Source organism: Homo sapiens, chromosome 6 (genome assembly GCF_000001405.40).
Source record: "Homo sapiens chromosome 6, GRCh38.p14 Primary Assembly".
Taxonomy (NCBI): domain Eukaryota; kingdom Metazoa; phylum Chordata; class Mammalia; order Primates; family Hominidae; genus Homo; species Homo sapiens.
This window is the reverse complement of record NC_000006.12, coordinates 17,423,046-17,439,237: the sequence shown is the minus strand read 5'-3', so window position 1 is coordinate 17,439,237 and position 16,192 is coordinate 17,423,046. Positions and strand designations below refer to the sequence as shown.

At 42.4% G+C, this 16,192-nt stretch overlaps 1 protein-coding gene across 3 annotated transcripts in view; it reads right to left on the bottom strand.

Moving 5' to 3' along the window:
• CAP2 (cyclase associated actin cytoskeleton regulatory protein 2) overlaps nucleotides 1-16,192 on the bottom strand; it is a 164,186-nt gene that overhangs the window by 118,543 nt on the left and 29,451 nt on the right. For all 3 annotated transcript variants that reach the window (NM_006366.3, NM_001363533.2, NM_001363534.2), the window contains exon 3: nucleotides 12,548-12,648. In NM_006366.3, the coding sequence (NP_006357.1) occupies nucleotides 12,548-12,648 (101 nt within the window). The remainder of the gene's footprint in view (nucleotides 1-12,547; nucleotides 12,649-16,192) is intronic.

Here is a 16,192-nt window from a genome sequence, read left to right as displayed (position 1 = left end):
AACGTCATTCACCAAGATAAACTCAAATGTGGATCAAATTTATGTGTCAAAAATAAAGCCATGAAAGTGTTAGAAGAAAAAGCCTTTTTTTTCTCTCTCTCTTTTTTCTCTCTCTCTTTATTTTTTTAAGACAGAGTCTCGCTCTGTAGCCCAGGCTGGAGTGCAATGGCACAATCTTGATTCATTGCAACCTCCGGCTCCTGGGTTCAAGCGATTCTCCTGCCCCAGCCTCCCAAGTAGCTGGGATTACAGGTGTGCACTACCACGCCCGGCTAATTTTTGTGTTTTTAGTAGAGACGGGGTTTCACCATGTTGGTCAGGCTGGTCTTGAACTCCTGACATCGTCATCTGCCCACCTTGGCCTCCCAAAGTGCTGGGATTATAGGCGTGAGCCACCGCGCCCGGCAGAAAAAGCCTTTTAAATGACAACTCACATTCTAGAAGCCATAAAAAAAAAAGATATGTTTATAATAAATTCTACTACATAAAAAAACTTCTGGGCCGGGTGCGGTGGCTCACACCTATAATCCCAGCACTTTGGGAGGCCGAGGTGGGCGGATCACAAGGTCAGGAGATTGAGACCATCCTGGCTAACACTGTGAAACCCCGTCTCTACTAAAAATACAAAAAAATTAGCTGGACGTGGTTGTGGGCGCCTGTAGTCCCAGCTACTCAGGAGGCTGAGACAGGAGAATGGCATGAACCTGAGAGGCAGAGCTTGCAGTGAGCCAGGATCGTGCCACTGCACTCCAGCCTGGGCAACAGACAAAGATTCCGTCTCAAAAAAAAAAAAAAAAAAAAAAACACTTCTGGATGGTCAAACAAGCAAACAAAAAAACCAACATAAGCAATTCTTTTTTTGTTTGTTTTTCGAGATGGAATCTCGTTCTTTCGCCCAGGTTGGAGTGCAGTGGCACGATCTCGGCCCACTGCAACCTCCACCTCCTGGGTTGGGGCAATTCTCCTGCCTCAGCCTCCCGAGTAGCTGGGATTACAGGCACCCACCTCCACGCCCAGCTAATTTTTGTATTTTTAGTAGAGACGGGGTTTCACCATGTTGGCCAAGCTGGTCTTGAACTCCTGACCTTGTGATCCGCCCACCTTGGCCTCCCAAAGCACTGGGATTACAGGCCTGAGCCACCACGCCTGGCCAGCAATGTTATAATCTAGTCATAATGCCATAGTGACAATGGGGAAAAATATTTGTATCTCTCACCACAGACAGAGGCTAATATCCCCAACATGTAAAGTTCTCTACAAATCAATAATAAACCAATGACTTTCTTGCTCCCGCCTATGGACTAAAGAAATGCATAAACAACTCACAGCAAAAGTGATATGTGACCCTTTTTTCTTTGAGACGGAGTCGTGCTCTGTTGCCCAGGTTGGACCGAGTGCAGTGGCGTGATCTCTGTTCACTGCAAACTCCACCTCCCAGATTCAAGCTATTCTCCTGCCTCAGCCTCCTGAGTAGCTGGGATTACAGGCATGTGCCACCATGCCCAGCTAATTTTTGTATTTTTAGTAGAGACAGGGTTTCACCGTGTTGGCCAGACTGGTCTTGATCTTTTGACCTCATGATCCTCCCGCCTCAGCCTCCCAAAGTGCTGAGATTACAGGCATGAGCCACCACGCCCAGCCTGTGACCCTTAAACATATGAAAAAGTGCTCAACCTCACTCATCATAAGAAAAATACAAATTGAAAACGACACAGAAATACTGTTTGTCACCCATCAGATTGGCAAAACTCCACTGACATCCCCCTCTGTAGGTGAGTTTGGGGAAACAGACACACTCATCCATTGCTGATGAAAGTATAACAGGCATATCCCCATGGAAGGCAATTTACAACAGATCTCAAAAGCACAATGCCCTTCCCTTCACCCAGCATCCCGCCTATCCCTGTTCTGCTGCTCTAGACCCACTCTCTACCCTGCTGCACCCTGCTCTGTGCTCCAGGCCAACCACTAGACCAGTGGTCCCCAACCTTTTTGGCACCAAGGGTCAATTTCATGGAAGACAATTTTTCCACAGACAGAGCAGGAGGATGGTTTGGGGATGACTCAAGTGCATTACACTTATTGTGCACTTTATTTCTATTATTATATTGTAATATATAATGAAATAATTATACAACTCACCACAATGTAGAATCTGTGGGAGCCCTGAGCTTATTTTCCTGTAACTAGACAGTCCCATCTGGGGGTGATGGGAGACAGTGACAGATCATAAGGCATTAGATTCTCATAAGGAGCACAAAACCTAGATCCCTCGAATGCGCAGTTCACCATAGGGTTTATGCTCCTCTGAGAATCTAATGCCGCCACTGATCTGACAGAAGGCAGAGCTCAGGTAGTAATGCAAGGGATGGGGAGTGGCTCTAAGTACAGATGAAGCTTTGGCCGCTCACCTGCCTGCCACTCACCTCCTGCTCTGCAGCCTGGTTCCTAACAGGGATGGGGACCCCTGACATAGATGGCATCAGCATCCACAGGCTCCTTGGCTCCTGGATTCTCACTGGGTTCAGTCAGTGGAAGGCTTGAGAGGAGACTGGAGCAAGGGAGACAAGCAGAAGGTGGCCTTTATTCCCCTGGTTCTTCCTGCTGGTCTCCATTGCATGGCCGTGTCTCTCTGCGGAAGGTTCTGATACCCGCCTCCCTCTCTCTTCCTCTCCAAACCTTGGGGTAGCAGTGATTCCTGTGATTGGCAGTCCTGGGTACTTTATGATTTCTTGTTTCCTGACTGCCTGCTCACAGCTTTCGAAATAGTCCCTTTATTAAACTCTCCTCAAATTCCCTTGTTTGGGCCAGGCGCGGTGGCTCATGCTTATAATCCCAGCACTTTGGGAGGCCAAGGCGGGTGGACCACTTGAAGTCAGGAGTTCAAGACCAGCCTGGCCAACATGGTAAAACCTTGTCTCTACTAAAAACACAAAAGAAAAAACAAATTAGCTGGAAGGGTGGCACGCACCTATAATCCCAGTTATTTGGGAGGCTGAGGCAGGAGAATCACTTGAACCTAGGAGGCAGAGGTTGCAGTGACCGAAATCGCATGACTGTGCTCCAGCCTGGGTGACAGAGTGAGACTCTATCAAGAAAGGAAGGAAGGAAGGAGGGAAGGAAGGAAGGAAGGAAGGAAGGAAGGAAGGAAAGAAAGAAAGAAAGAAAGATTCCTTAGTTTAACCATGCCAAGATTAAGAGTTTAGTCATCTTAACCTTAGAGACTCACAGGATCTATCCATGAGTATCCTTCCAGGACCCTGACTGATACACCCTGGAATCCCATTTTGGAGAATTTATCCTCAGATATACTTGTATATATAGAAAATACATGCTTATGCACTGTAACAAAAGATTAGAAACAACCCAATGTCCAGCAACAGGGATCTGGTCAAATAAACTGTGATAAACTACACAGAGGAGTATTTTGAAGCCGTAAAAAACAGTGAAGAAGCTCTAGATGGACTGACAGAAAAGATCTCTAGAATATATTGTTTTTTTTTTGTTTTTTTTTTTTTTTATCCGTAAACTTCTTTTTTTTTTTTTTTTTTTTTTTATTATACTCTAAGTTTTAGGGTACATGTGCACATTGTGCAGGTTAGTTACATATGTATACATGTGCCATGCTGGTGCGCTGCACCCACTAATGTGACATCTAGCATTAGGTATATCTCCCAATGCTATCCCTCCCCCCTCCCCCGACCCCACCACAGTCCCCAGAGTGTGATATTCCCCTTCCTGTGTCCATGTGATCTCATTGTTCAATTCCCACCTATGAGTGAGAATATGCGGTGTTTGGTTTTTTGTTCTTGCGATAGTTTACTGAGAATGATGGTTTCCAATTTCATCCATGTCCCTACAAAGGATATGAACTCATCATTTTTTATGGCTGCATAGTATTCCATGGTGTATATGTGCCACATTTTCTTAATCCAGTCTATCATTGTTGGACATTTGGGTTGGTTCCAAGTCTTTGCTATTGTGAATAGTGCCGCAATAAACATACGTGTGCATGTGTCTTTATAGCAGCATGATTTATACTCATTTGGATATATACCCAGTAATGGGATGGCTGGGTCAAATGGTATTTCTAGTTCTAGATCCCTGAGGAATCGCCACACTGACTTCCACAATGGTTGAACTAGTTTACAGTCCCACCAACAGTGTAAAAGTGTTCCTATTTCTCCGCATCCTCTCCAGCACCTGTTGTTTCCTGACTTTTTAATGATAGCCATTCTAACTGGTGTGAGATGATATCTCATAGTGGTTTTGATTTGCATTTCTCTGATGGCCAGTGATGATGAGCATTTCTTCATGTGTTTTTTGGCTGCATAAATGTCTTCTTTTGAGAAGTGTCTGTTCATGTCCTTCGCCCACTTTTTGATGGGGTTGTTTGTTTTTTTCTTGTAAATTTGTTTGAGTTCATTGTAGATTCTGGATATATTGTTAAGTGAAGAAAACAAGGTGTGAAGCAGTGTACATAATGAAGTGACCGTTTAGTAATAAAAGGAAAATAAGAATAAATGTATTTTCAAAAACAAACACTGGAAGGATACATAAGAAACTTAAAAAGTCATCACCTTCAGGGGTATGGAGGGAAATGGGATGAACACGTACATTAGTACACGTTACTACACAAAGTACACGTGGTGCTTTTCCTGGCTTCAATTTTTTAACCCATGCAAACATTTACTCAAAAAATTAAATCAGGCCAGGTGCAGTGGCTCACGCCTGTAATCCCAGCACTTTGGGAGGCCGAGGCAGGTGGATCACTTGAGGTCAGGAATTCGAGACCAGCCTGGCCAACAGAGTGAAACCCCGTCTCTACTAAAAACACAAAAATTAGCCGGGCTTGGTGGTGCGGGTCTATAGTCCCAGCTACTCAGGAGGCTAAGGCAGGCCAATTGCTTGAACCTGGGAGGCGGAGGTTGCAGTGATCTGAGATTGCACCACTGCACTCCAGCCTAGGCAACAGAGTGAGACTCTGTCTCAAAAAAAAAAAGAAAGAAAAAAAGAGAAAAAAAAAGAAAAGAAATTAAATTACTAAAAAAGCAGAAAGAAAAACATTGAAGCAAGAGTTTGGCAGAAAGCATATTTGCTGTCCAGGAAAAAGAAAAAGGGCAGGTATCATCTTATCATCTTAACCTTAGAGACTCATGGAATCTGACTCGTTGTTTCAGCAAGGTATCTTGGTGATTTTTTTCATTGGTAGAGTAAATGGGCAATCCTGTGGTTGGTCAGGCCTGGTGGCCCTTCGAAGTCTGGTTTTGATTCCAAGTCCAGTTTCTTACTGGCCGGTCCCCAAAGCTCTAAGTGTGTTTGTGAAATTAGGATGTTTAGTGAGATAGATGAGGATTGTATGCTCTAGAAACAAACTTTAAGTAAAAAAGGAGTCACAGGGATGTCCAATGAAGGCCTGAGATTTAGCAGGAGATGGGCTGTGAATCAAAGCATGTTTGGTAGCAAACTATGTGTTCTACGCTGAGAATAAAACTTCTCCACGTTCTTGGGAAGACACGGTAACAGAGGCTGATCTATCTGTGACTTTTCTGAATTCTGCAAATTTGGTGCCAACAGCATAGTAATGATCAGGCCGAGCCCACGCCAGTGCAAAGGCGCAGAAATGAAGACCTAGAGGGACAGAGTTCTGTCCTGGAGGCAGCATTCTCCTGGTCACTAAGAGGCACAGTAGCCTTCCACCCTCTCCTCTGCCCTGGGCCTAAGCCTGGTCATGGAGACCTATCCTCCTCTTCTAGAAAGAGGGAGTGAGGAAGGAGGCAGGTCAGTGCGGTCTTGCTTCTCACCAGTCAGCCAATTACCACAAGGGTGGTGGGAGACACAGCTGCCATGACAACTTGTAGGACCTGAAAGCACAGAAACGTGGAGGCCTACAGTCCTTTTAGACGAAGGAGTCAGATGTTTGTCTATACCACAAGGAGAGAGCAAGAAGAGAAGATGTTTTATCTTCGGTGTTCTGTAAATCCTTTTTCTGACATGGTTCCTTCTGTTTGCTTCTCATGGTGTTTTCCCTGGCATGGCTGAAGATGCTTTTTACAATGGTGATGAGGCCATCCTACTGCAGGTTAAAGTAGGTGCCTGCCAAGGTGACAGACAGAGACTCTGGAGACTAGATTCCTGGCTCTGCCACTGCATTGCTGAGATCTTTAACACACCACGCACATCACCTAGCCTCTCTAATTTGCAGTTTCCTTCTCTGTAGAAGATAGAAAGACAGATAGATGGACGGATGGAAGGGAGAGAGGGAGGGAGGGGGGAGAGAGGGAGGGAGGGAGGGAGGAAAAAGAAGGGAAGGAAGGAAGTAAAAGAAAATAAAAGCAAAGGAAAGGGAGACGGAAGGAAGGGAGGAAGACAAAAAGAGGGAAAAAACAAAAGGAGAGAAGGAAGTAGGGAAGGAAAGAAGGATGAAAATAAATGGAAAGAAAGGAAAAGAAAGAAAAGAGGGAGAAGAAAGGAAGGGAAGAAAGAAGCAAGAAAAAGAAGAAAAGCAAGCAAGCAAGGGGGTGGAGGGGTGGATAACTGGAATAGATGACTTTTAAATGCTTCCTTCTCTAAAAATTCTGGCTATCATTAATGGCTAAGCCAGTAAGAAAGAAGATGCCCCATTTAAAGCCTGGATGAAACCTAGAGGCAGAATTCTTGATGCAAGTCATTTTTTGGATCTCTGCCATTTGGTGAAACTGAAAGACATACAGATTCTTCGGGCTTGCAATTGCCAAGATATTCCACATCTAGTGGTAATAAAAATTAATGTTCAAATTAAAACAGTGAACAGAAAACTGGAAGTTCATGGGAAGAGCAAGTTGGCTGAAGGCAGAGTGGGGAGGTGAGGAGAACGACATGGAATGGGCTGGTTTGCTGAGTCAGCCTCACAGTGGTGCTTCTGATAAGATTTTTTGGGATGGGGATCCTGGATAGACACAGATTCTAAAGCACCAAACATGTAAATGGTCACTTTTAAAATGAGTACAGGTGATCCATAAATATTTTCAAGAATCAAAAGAATTGAAAGAATACAAGATACCATCCGTAAAATAAACATGCAGATATTCTGTATTATTTATTCCAGAGATAAGGCTATTATATGTTTCAGAGATAAGATTCATGTAAAGGAAGATGTGACAACTCGTAGGACCAGAAAGCACAGACTGGTAGAGGCCTCCGGGTCCTTTCAGATGAAGGAGGCTGATGTTCATCTATACCACAGGAGAGTGGAAAGATGTTTTGTCTTTAGTGCTCTGTGTATCCTTTTTCTGACATGGTTCCTTCTGCTTGTTTCTCAGGGCATCTTCCCTGGCATGGCTGAAGATGCTCTTTATAATGGTGATGAGGCCACCCTATTGCAAGCTCTTCATTTGGAAACCGAATAGCTCCCTCATGCTTTCAGGCTGAGAGAACTGATGAGTCAGGTGCATGGGCTATTGAGAGACAGAGGCCCTGAGAAATTATGTCATCCTGCCTCGTTAAGGAGCAGATGAAGGGACTAGCTCAAGGTCATGCTGTCAAAAGCAGGGCCACTCTAAATCCAAATATTAATACAATCTGCCAGTGTGAGTCAGAGGAACAGAGACTTCTCATTTTGCCACTCTTTGAACTCATTAACTGAACAGCATGGCACAAAGTGAGCAAGCTATTTTGTAGATGATTTAAATAAATGGTAAAGACTAGGAATATCTAGCATAGTGACTATGACCCATCAAAAGTGAGGCTGTAATAATTTTCTGATCATGTTCATCCTTTATAGAAGTCAAAGAACTCAAGGACAGAACATTATACAGCATGTGATTTAATCATAGTATGCCTTATGTGTGTTACGTTTAGTTGAATTTTATTGCCCTTTTGTTCAAATTGTGGTTCTTTCATTTTAAATAATTAATAAAAATTATTTTTTTTAACGATATCTTTTTTTAAACTTCTAGTTTAGGTTCAGGGGTACACATACAGGTTTGTTATGTAGGTAAATTTTGTGTCGCGGAGGTTTGGTGTACAGATTATTTCATTGCCCAGGTAATAAGCATAGCACCTGACAGGTACTTTCTGATCCTCACCCTTCTTCTGCCCTCCACCCTCCAGTTGGCCCACTGTCTATTGTCCCCTTCTTTGTGACCACGTGTTCTCAATGTTTAGCTCCCACTTATTAGTGAGAGCATGTGGTAACAGCAGTTTTTTAAGTCCATTTCAATCAAGAACAGGAAATAAAGATTCCAGATTCCTACAAACATTTAAAATGTAAGTTCTAGAAATCTCTAAAAAAGACTTGGGTTAGGAAAAGCTATGATTTGCAGTTGCTTCCTATTTGTCACATCAATTAGAAATAGACCTGAGATCAGTTCCGCCATGAATCCTAACAATAGGATAACTTTGTTAAAAAATAACCCCTAATGGCCGGGTGCAGTGGCTCACGCCTATAATCCCAGCACTTTGGGAGGCTGAGGCGGGTGGATCACGAGGTCAGGAGTTCAAGACCAGCCTGGCCAACATGGTAAAACCCCGTCTCTACGAAAAATACAAAAATTAGCCAGACGTAGTGGCGTGCGGCTGTAATCCCAGGTACTTGGGAGGCTGAGACAGGAGAATCGCTTGAACCCGGGAGGTGGAGGTTGCAGTGAGCTCAGATCACGCCACTGCACTCAAGCCTGGGCAACAGAGCAAGACTCTGTCTCGAAAAAAAAAAAAAAACCCAAAGTCACATAAATCTATTTATGGATAAATGATGTCCAACCAAGGGCTAGGTATTATATAGGCCCAGTTTCTAGAGGATCTGCTTCTTTGACATTGAGAACTCTATTTACCCAATATCTATTATAAAATCATGCATGTATGCAATTATGCATAAAATTATCTATTCTTTTTTAAAAGGGGTGCAAGCTGTGTCAAGTTTCTTGGGTTGAAGAGTAGTTTAAATAAGCCCTTTGGTTTAGGCTGCACACAAGAAGGCTTTACAAGTTCTAATCTTTTCTAAACCTGTTATGCTCTTAGGTTCAGCAGAGATTCCTAATTGTAGCTATTAGATCCCCTTTTTTGTGGTCTGTTCTGTCAATAGGCTATTGAGTGTTCAGTAAATTAAGCCCAACCAGCAGCCAACACATCGAGACAGACGTTAAATCATAGCTTGGCTGCCCTTATTCCTTACTGGTATCTGTGAAATGACTTTTAAGCACAGGCACAGGATTTAATATGATGCACATTTGTGTCACTCTCAAATTTCCATCCTGTACAATCAGGTATGTGAGGGCTTTTTTCCTAGGCAACAGGTGTGTTCTTGGAATAAAGTTCAACCCCCACTTCTGGCTGATGTGAGAGGCAACAGCTGCAAGCTTAATGCCAATGACACATGGTTCTGTAAGCGAGAGAAAAAATAAACGGCATGTTCAAAGTATTAACGTCATGGGCAGATGGACTATAGCTGCCTGTACTTTTCTTTGTGTTGTAGAGCTGGAGTCTAAACTTTCAGATGACAAGTGTTTCTTTCTTTCTCTCTTTCTTGCTTGCCTTTCTTCCTTCTGTCTTCTATTCTTTTCCTTCCTTTCCTCTATTTTTTAAAAACTAGGGAGAACATAAATTTTCTTAAGCATTACATATTCATTGCTGAGAATATTCCTTCATCTGAGTCATCCTGTTTACAGCCTGATGAATGAAGAGATGAAAAACTTAATATTAACCAAGCTACACTTTATAACTCACTCTGTTCTAAAAAGAACTTAAAGGGACTGTTTACTGTGCAATTTGAAGACAGCATACAAATCTTACTTTTTTAAAAAATGCAAAGTTAAATATACTTATTTATAGGTCTCATTATTCTCTTGTAAAAAGCTTCTATCTAGAATTTTTGAGATACTCCTAATGAGTTATAATGTACTGTGTACCTCAGAAGCCTAATGTTGGCATTAATGAATAGTAACCATAATGATACAATGATTACTGTCATAGTGTTCAAGACAGAAAATGTTCATCAATCACTCAAGCATCTTTTTCAGTGTATTGCAGATAATATTCCTTTGTGTATGTTAGCGTTCAGGAGTTATCACGCCTCAGAATACAAGAGGCTCAGCCACTCTCTTGCTGCATACAAGGTTTCTTGTAAACAAAAACACTGAGGAAAAAAACAGACTAGAGTAGTAACAATAGTGCTGTGGGATACATTTGACGTGGATGCATCTTAGTGCCCAGGTTTTTCCAGAACTCGTATATATCAAGGCTTGTCTCTTTCACCAAGGGGTACTTCAACAGAAATGGAGAAGTATCTTTGTTTTTCTTAGATGTGGCAAACAAATACATTGCAATGTGATGAGATAAGCACCTATTTAATTACAGTCTTGGAGCCTCTGGCATAACCGGAGTCACTGGATCCCCTGGGAGACTGGTGTTGGGTGTTGCATATGATGTCTAATTGGGAGGGGAGCAAAAAGAGAATCCCTTTATACTTTTTTTAACTTTTTTTTTTTATTATACTTTAAGTTTTAGGGTACATGTGCACATTGTGCAGGTTAGTTACATATGTATACATGTGCCATGCTGGTGCGCTGCACCCACTAACTCGTCATCTAGCATTAGGTATATCTCCCAATGCTATCCCTCCCCCCTCCCCCCATCCCACCACAGTCCCCAGAGTGTGATATTCCCCTTCCTGTGTCCATGTGATCTCATTGTTCAATTCCCACCTATGAGTGAGAATATGCGAAAAGCCCCAAACCACAACTTTATTCAAGAATCAGATTTTCTGTGAATCTATACTGAAAATGGTTTTGCCAGGATTCTGTCATTGCTGAGAAATCTATAGGTAGACAGATTTGGAATTCAATCCTTAGTGAGAAACAAAGGCCAAAGAAAAAGAAGAACCCAGTGATACATTTCTTTTCATGTTTTTAATTGGTTTGGCTATCACATTCGATTTTCACTAAATGAATGCAAACAATGACTAACCCCGGAGATGATGCTAATATTTTTTAAAATATGAAAAGTGTCTAAAACTGGCAGGCTAGCTTAGGTACCTTTAAAGTTCTCTTCCAACCCAGAGATTATCAAATTCTGTGTTTTTGCTTTTCCTCAGGCTGTACTTTGTTCAAAATTATAGTAAGATATACTTAACATAAAATTTACCATCTTAACCATTTTCAGTGTACAGCTTAATAGTGTTAAGTATATTCACATAGTTGTACAATCTCCAGAACTTCTTAATCTTGGAAAACTGAAACTCTGTACTCATTGAACAATTTCCTATTCTCTCCTCCCTCCAGCCTCTGGCAAACACCATTCTACTTTGTCTCCACAAATTTGACCGCCCTAGGCACTGCCAATAAATGGAATCATACAGTATTTGTCTTTTTGTGTCTGGCTTATTTCACTTAGCATAATGTCCTCAAGGTTCATCCATACTACAGCATGTAACAGCATTTCCTTCCTTTTCAAGGCTGAATAATATTCCATTGTATGTACAGACCACATTTAGTGTATCTGTCAATGCACACTTGGGTTGCTTCCACCTCGTGGCTATTGTGAATAATGCTGCTATGAACATGGGTGTCTCTTGGAGATGCTGCTTTTAAATTTGGGGGATATACATAGAAGTGAAATTGTTGGATCTACAGTAGTTCCATTTTTTTTTTTTTTTGAGGAGCCAACACACTGTTTTCCACAGTGCCTGCATCATTTTACATTCCCATCAACAGTGCGTAGAGGCTCCAGTTTCTCCCCATCCTAACCAGTACTTGTTAATTCCTGTTCTTTGGATAGTAGCCATCCCAATGGATATGAGGTGATATCCTCAGGCCGCATTTTACAGAAAGAAGAAGGGTGGCTGGTGACTGAGTCAGCTCAGCCAGGGGACCTTTTTAAAAGCATAAATCAAATCGCCCTGAGTCCTCTGCCCGGTGACCCCGGGTGGCTTCCCATCACAGTGGGAAGGAGAGCCGAGTCCCTCACTGTGACTAGAAGAGCATGTTGTACTCTGAGCCCTTGTTACCCCTCTCCCTTATCTTTTCCCAGGCCTTCTGTTCTGCTGGGAACACACCAAGCTTGCTCTGAGCCTTCGCTCTTGCTGTTCCCTCTGTCTGGAACTGTCTTCCCCACATCACTCCACAGCTCACTACCTCTCTCCATCAGATCTCTGCTCAGTGTCACCTCAGATACACCTTCCTATCTCAAGCAATAGCCCTGTTTCCAGCACTCTAAATCATGACTCTGCTTTCTTATTCTTTTCGTACTTAAAACTACCTGAATTCATTTATATATTTGTATATATCATCTGTTTCCCAGACTAAAGTGGAAGTTCTGTGAGAACAGGATGTAGCCTATCTTGTTCATCCCCATGCTCCTAGCTTCCAGAGCAGTGCTGGACAATACTCTATCCATAGGCCTTGCAGGAACAATTAAATGAATAAATGGGTAAATGAATGTTTTAGCCACCATCTGCCTAGCCAGAGTAAAAACTAAATAAATAAATAAAGATCTCCTCAGGCTGTTAGCGTTGTCAGAGGCTGGGCTGGTAAGTTTAAACTCTCTACTGAGAACAGGGGAGGAAAGTACTTACATGGGTCTCCACGTCCCCAGCAAGGATCCTACTGTTCTTTAAAAACTCGGCCACCATACTGTCCATCAGCTTGTCAAAGGCTTCCACGGAGGGTGCCACACCTTGGGGAAAGGAGCAGTTTGTTATTCCCTGGCCGTTGAATGAAAACCTGGGACTAGCCGGGCACGGTGGCTCACACCTGTAATCCTAGCACTTTGGGAGTCCGAGGCAGGCAGATCACCTGAGGTCAGGAGTTTAAGACCAGCCTGGACAACATGGTGAAACCCGTCTCTACTAAAAATACAAAAATTAGCCAGGTGTGGTGGTAGGCATCTTTAATCCCAGCTACTCAGGAGGCTGAGGCAGGAGAATCTCTTGAAACTGGGAGGTGGAGGTGATCTCAGTGAGTCGAGATCGCGCCACTGCACTCCAGCCTGAGTGACAGAGCAAGACTCCATCTCAAGAAAAAAAAAAAAAAAAGAAAACCTGGGACTGTCTTGCCATAGGCAATATGGAAGTTTAATATCATCAATTTCATTCTCACCAATTCATTTGCTAAGTCATTCCTTCACTCAATCAATGTGTTTGGTTTTTTTGTTTGTTTGTTTGTTTGTTTTTTGAGACAGGGTCTCACTGTCACCCAGGCTGGAGTGCAGTGGCGTGATCTTGGCTCACTGCAACCTCCTCCTCCCAGGTTCAAGTGATTCTCCAGCCTCAGGCTCCCAAGTAGCTGAGGCCATAGATGCGTGCCACCGTGCTCTGTTAATTTTTGTAGTTTTTGTAGAGACAGGGTCTCACCATATTGGTCAGGCTAGTTTCCAACTCCTGGGCTCAAGTGATCGGCCCACCTTGGCCTCCCAAGGTACTGGGATTACAGGCGTGAGCCACCATGCCCGGATCTCCATCAATGTTTATTAAACATTTCTCAACAGCTCAGGAAAACACTGTTTTCCTATTTTTCATCCTCCTGAGTAAAGACGCTACATAATTTCATTTCATTCCCTCCGGACCCAGGGAGGTAGGTAGCACCATCACAGATGAGGAAATGGCTGCAAACACAGCACCTGACAGGGCCAGAGTTACAGACCAAACAAAAGGCAGATCCAAAACCTGAACCCAGCCGAGTCATCCAAAGCCAGTGGCCCTTCTTCCATAGCCACCTGCTCAGGTGCTATAATGACCTTACAAACAGTTACCAAGATTACCCAGGACAATCAGAAGGTAATAATGAACTCTGGGCAAGGAGGAAAAGAAAGCTGATTTCACTCATTTTCTTCCTTCTTCACTCCCCAGGGGGTGGGGGGACAACCATAGTGGGAATGAAATTGACTGCTGAGCCCATACCTGTTGGGTTCAGAGCTGCCAAATTACTGGCAAAGCTCAAGTGGCAACTGCCCAACAGGTGTGCTCTGCATTTCCTTCCCTGCCTTTTAATTAACAGAAAAAAAATCTAAGTCCCTGATTTCATGTCCCTAATATTGAGAAATACAATACTGAGAAACTATGAAAACTCTAACCAAAATCTAGGATTCCTTTTCTCTATGCTCACAAAACTATTAGGAGAGTGTCTTTCTTTTTCTCTTTTTCCCAATTACCCATTTCCACAGGCCCAAAGGGTGATGGAAACAAGTTATTTACACTCTCTGCAGGTATGTTCTAACTTCCGAGCAGGATGTTGAAGCTAGACGTTGAAGCTGAGTTATCTTAAAGTTCACAGCACAGTATATAACAACTTCTGGAACATAAAAAGGACACAAGCCCAAAGGCTCCTTATGGATCCGTTTGGAGACAGATAAACCTGTTTGTTGCTATGGAAGAGGCCCGAGCGGGGATCTCTGCTGAGTATTTAAAGTGGGAGAAAGTTTCAGAAAAGTGACAGAGTCCTCTACATAGCAGAAGGTACAATGATAAAAGGGAATATTTTCCAATTTCCTTTCATCGTTCAACTCTGTTCACACCTCCTGCGGGCAGACCTGTCTTTCTCTCCAAACTGCATCCTTTGAGCATCCCTTAATCAAAGAATTTGGGGCCATGAATAGTAATGCATTGAGACCAAAGATTCTGGAGCATTAGGACTGTGTATAATTCATCTTCAATTTTCTTGCACCTAGCACAGTGTTTGTCGCATTATAAAAACGCAAAAATACTTCAACTGTTGAGCGCAACTTAAGTGATTATCACCAGAGGAAAAAAACACTCACCTTCTAAAGCACATCATAATACCAGTATCATAATAGAGTGGTCCTTTGATCTATGCCTATTATGCATTTGTAAGGGATTATGTTCCTTCTAAAAGTTTCTCTTTTTTTTGAGACGGAGTCTTGCTCTGTGTCGCCCAGGCTGGAGTGCAGTGGCGCGATCTCGGCTCACTGCAAGCTCCGCCTCCCGGGTTCACGCCATTTTCCTGCCTCAGCCTCCCGAGTAGCTGGGACTACAGGCGCCCGCCACCACGCCCAGCTAATTTTTTTCATTTTTAGTAGAGACGGAGTTTCACCGTGTTAGCCAGGATGGTCTTGATCTCCTGACCTCGTGATCGGCTCGCCGCGGCCTCCCAAAGTGCTGGATTACAGGCGTGAGCCACTGCGTCCATCCCGATTTTAAACATTTTCAAGTTTCTTTTAAAATTAAAAAAAAAATAACTTTTGTTATAACATTGTCGTAATGATGTTTACATGTAAGGTAAAAGGTTGTTCGGCGGATTTGTTAAAAATAGAATTTATAAAATTGTCAAAACTTACTAATTAAGAAGAAATGGAAATGGTGTTGTTTAGGATTAGTAAAATGTTTTAAGGATGGATATCATTCAGACAATTTACTAATTATCCTACTTCATTTCAAGTAGGATAGTAAATTACGGGCTAAGTTGTTTTAGAAGAGCTTTGCTTTAATAAACTGGTTTGGAACGATTTGTTATATGAGAAAATATTTGTTTAAACACTTAAATAATTTAAATAATTTAATTACATACCCTCTAATTCTACTTAGCCTATTAATTTTCCTAGAAAAAATCTTTTTTTTACAATGTACCAAGTTCAATCTAGTACCTCTTTGAGTAAGTGAGGTTCAAATTATTGAGATTTTTTTTTTCTTTACTCAATAATACTATATAGTCTCCCGGTAGTTAGATTTTAACTTTGTTTTGTGTATTCACAGGCTTCACATTTGTGGTCAGTAGTTTACAGAAATGTCTTTAATCATCTGATGCCAACAGTATAATGAAACAAAGTTACTGAAGAGAGGGTGAAAATATTTTCTTACAAATAAGGTTTATTGAATCATATACCAATTGTATACAGTTAACAAAAAGAGGCTTAAAATGAAATCATAGATGTGTCTCAGTTGGTGCGGAAAAAAACTTACAGGCTCCTGGCAGCCTTCCTTAAAACAACACCCCCTTTCAATTCATTCAAAGCATTTTAATTTTCATTATGTTCAGGGGGGAAATAAACCAGCCAGCACATTTGTGCTCACACAGTAATTTTTGTCCCATGGTATGTAATACAGGCACGGGTCCAAATTCGCCTGAAATTCTAGAAGCACCAATGTAGGTCTTTCCTGGTGAAAGCTTTTTCTGAAGTCCCTTCTTCCCCACGGCTTTTCTCAGCCCAAAAAAACCTGACAGGATTCAGTATGGGTCAGATAAGGAGGAAGTGCCCATGTGACAAG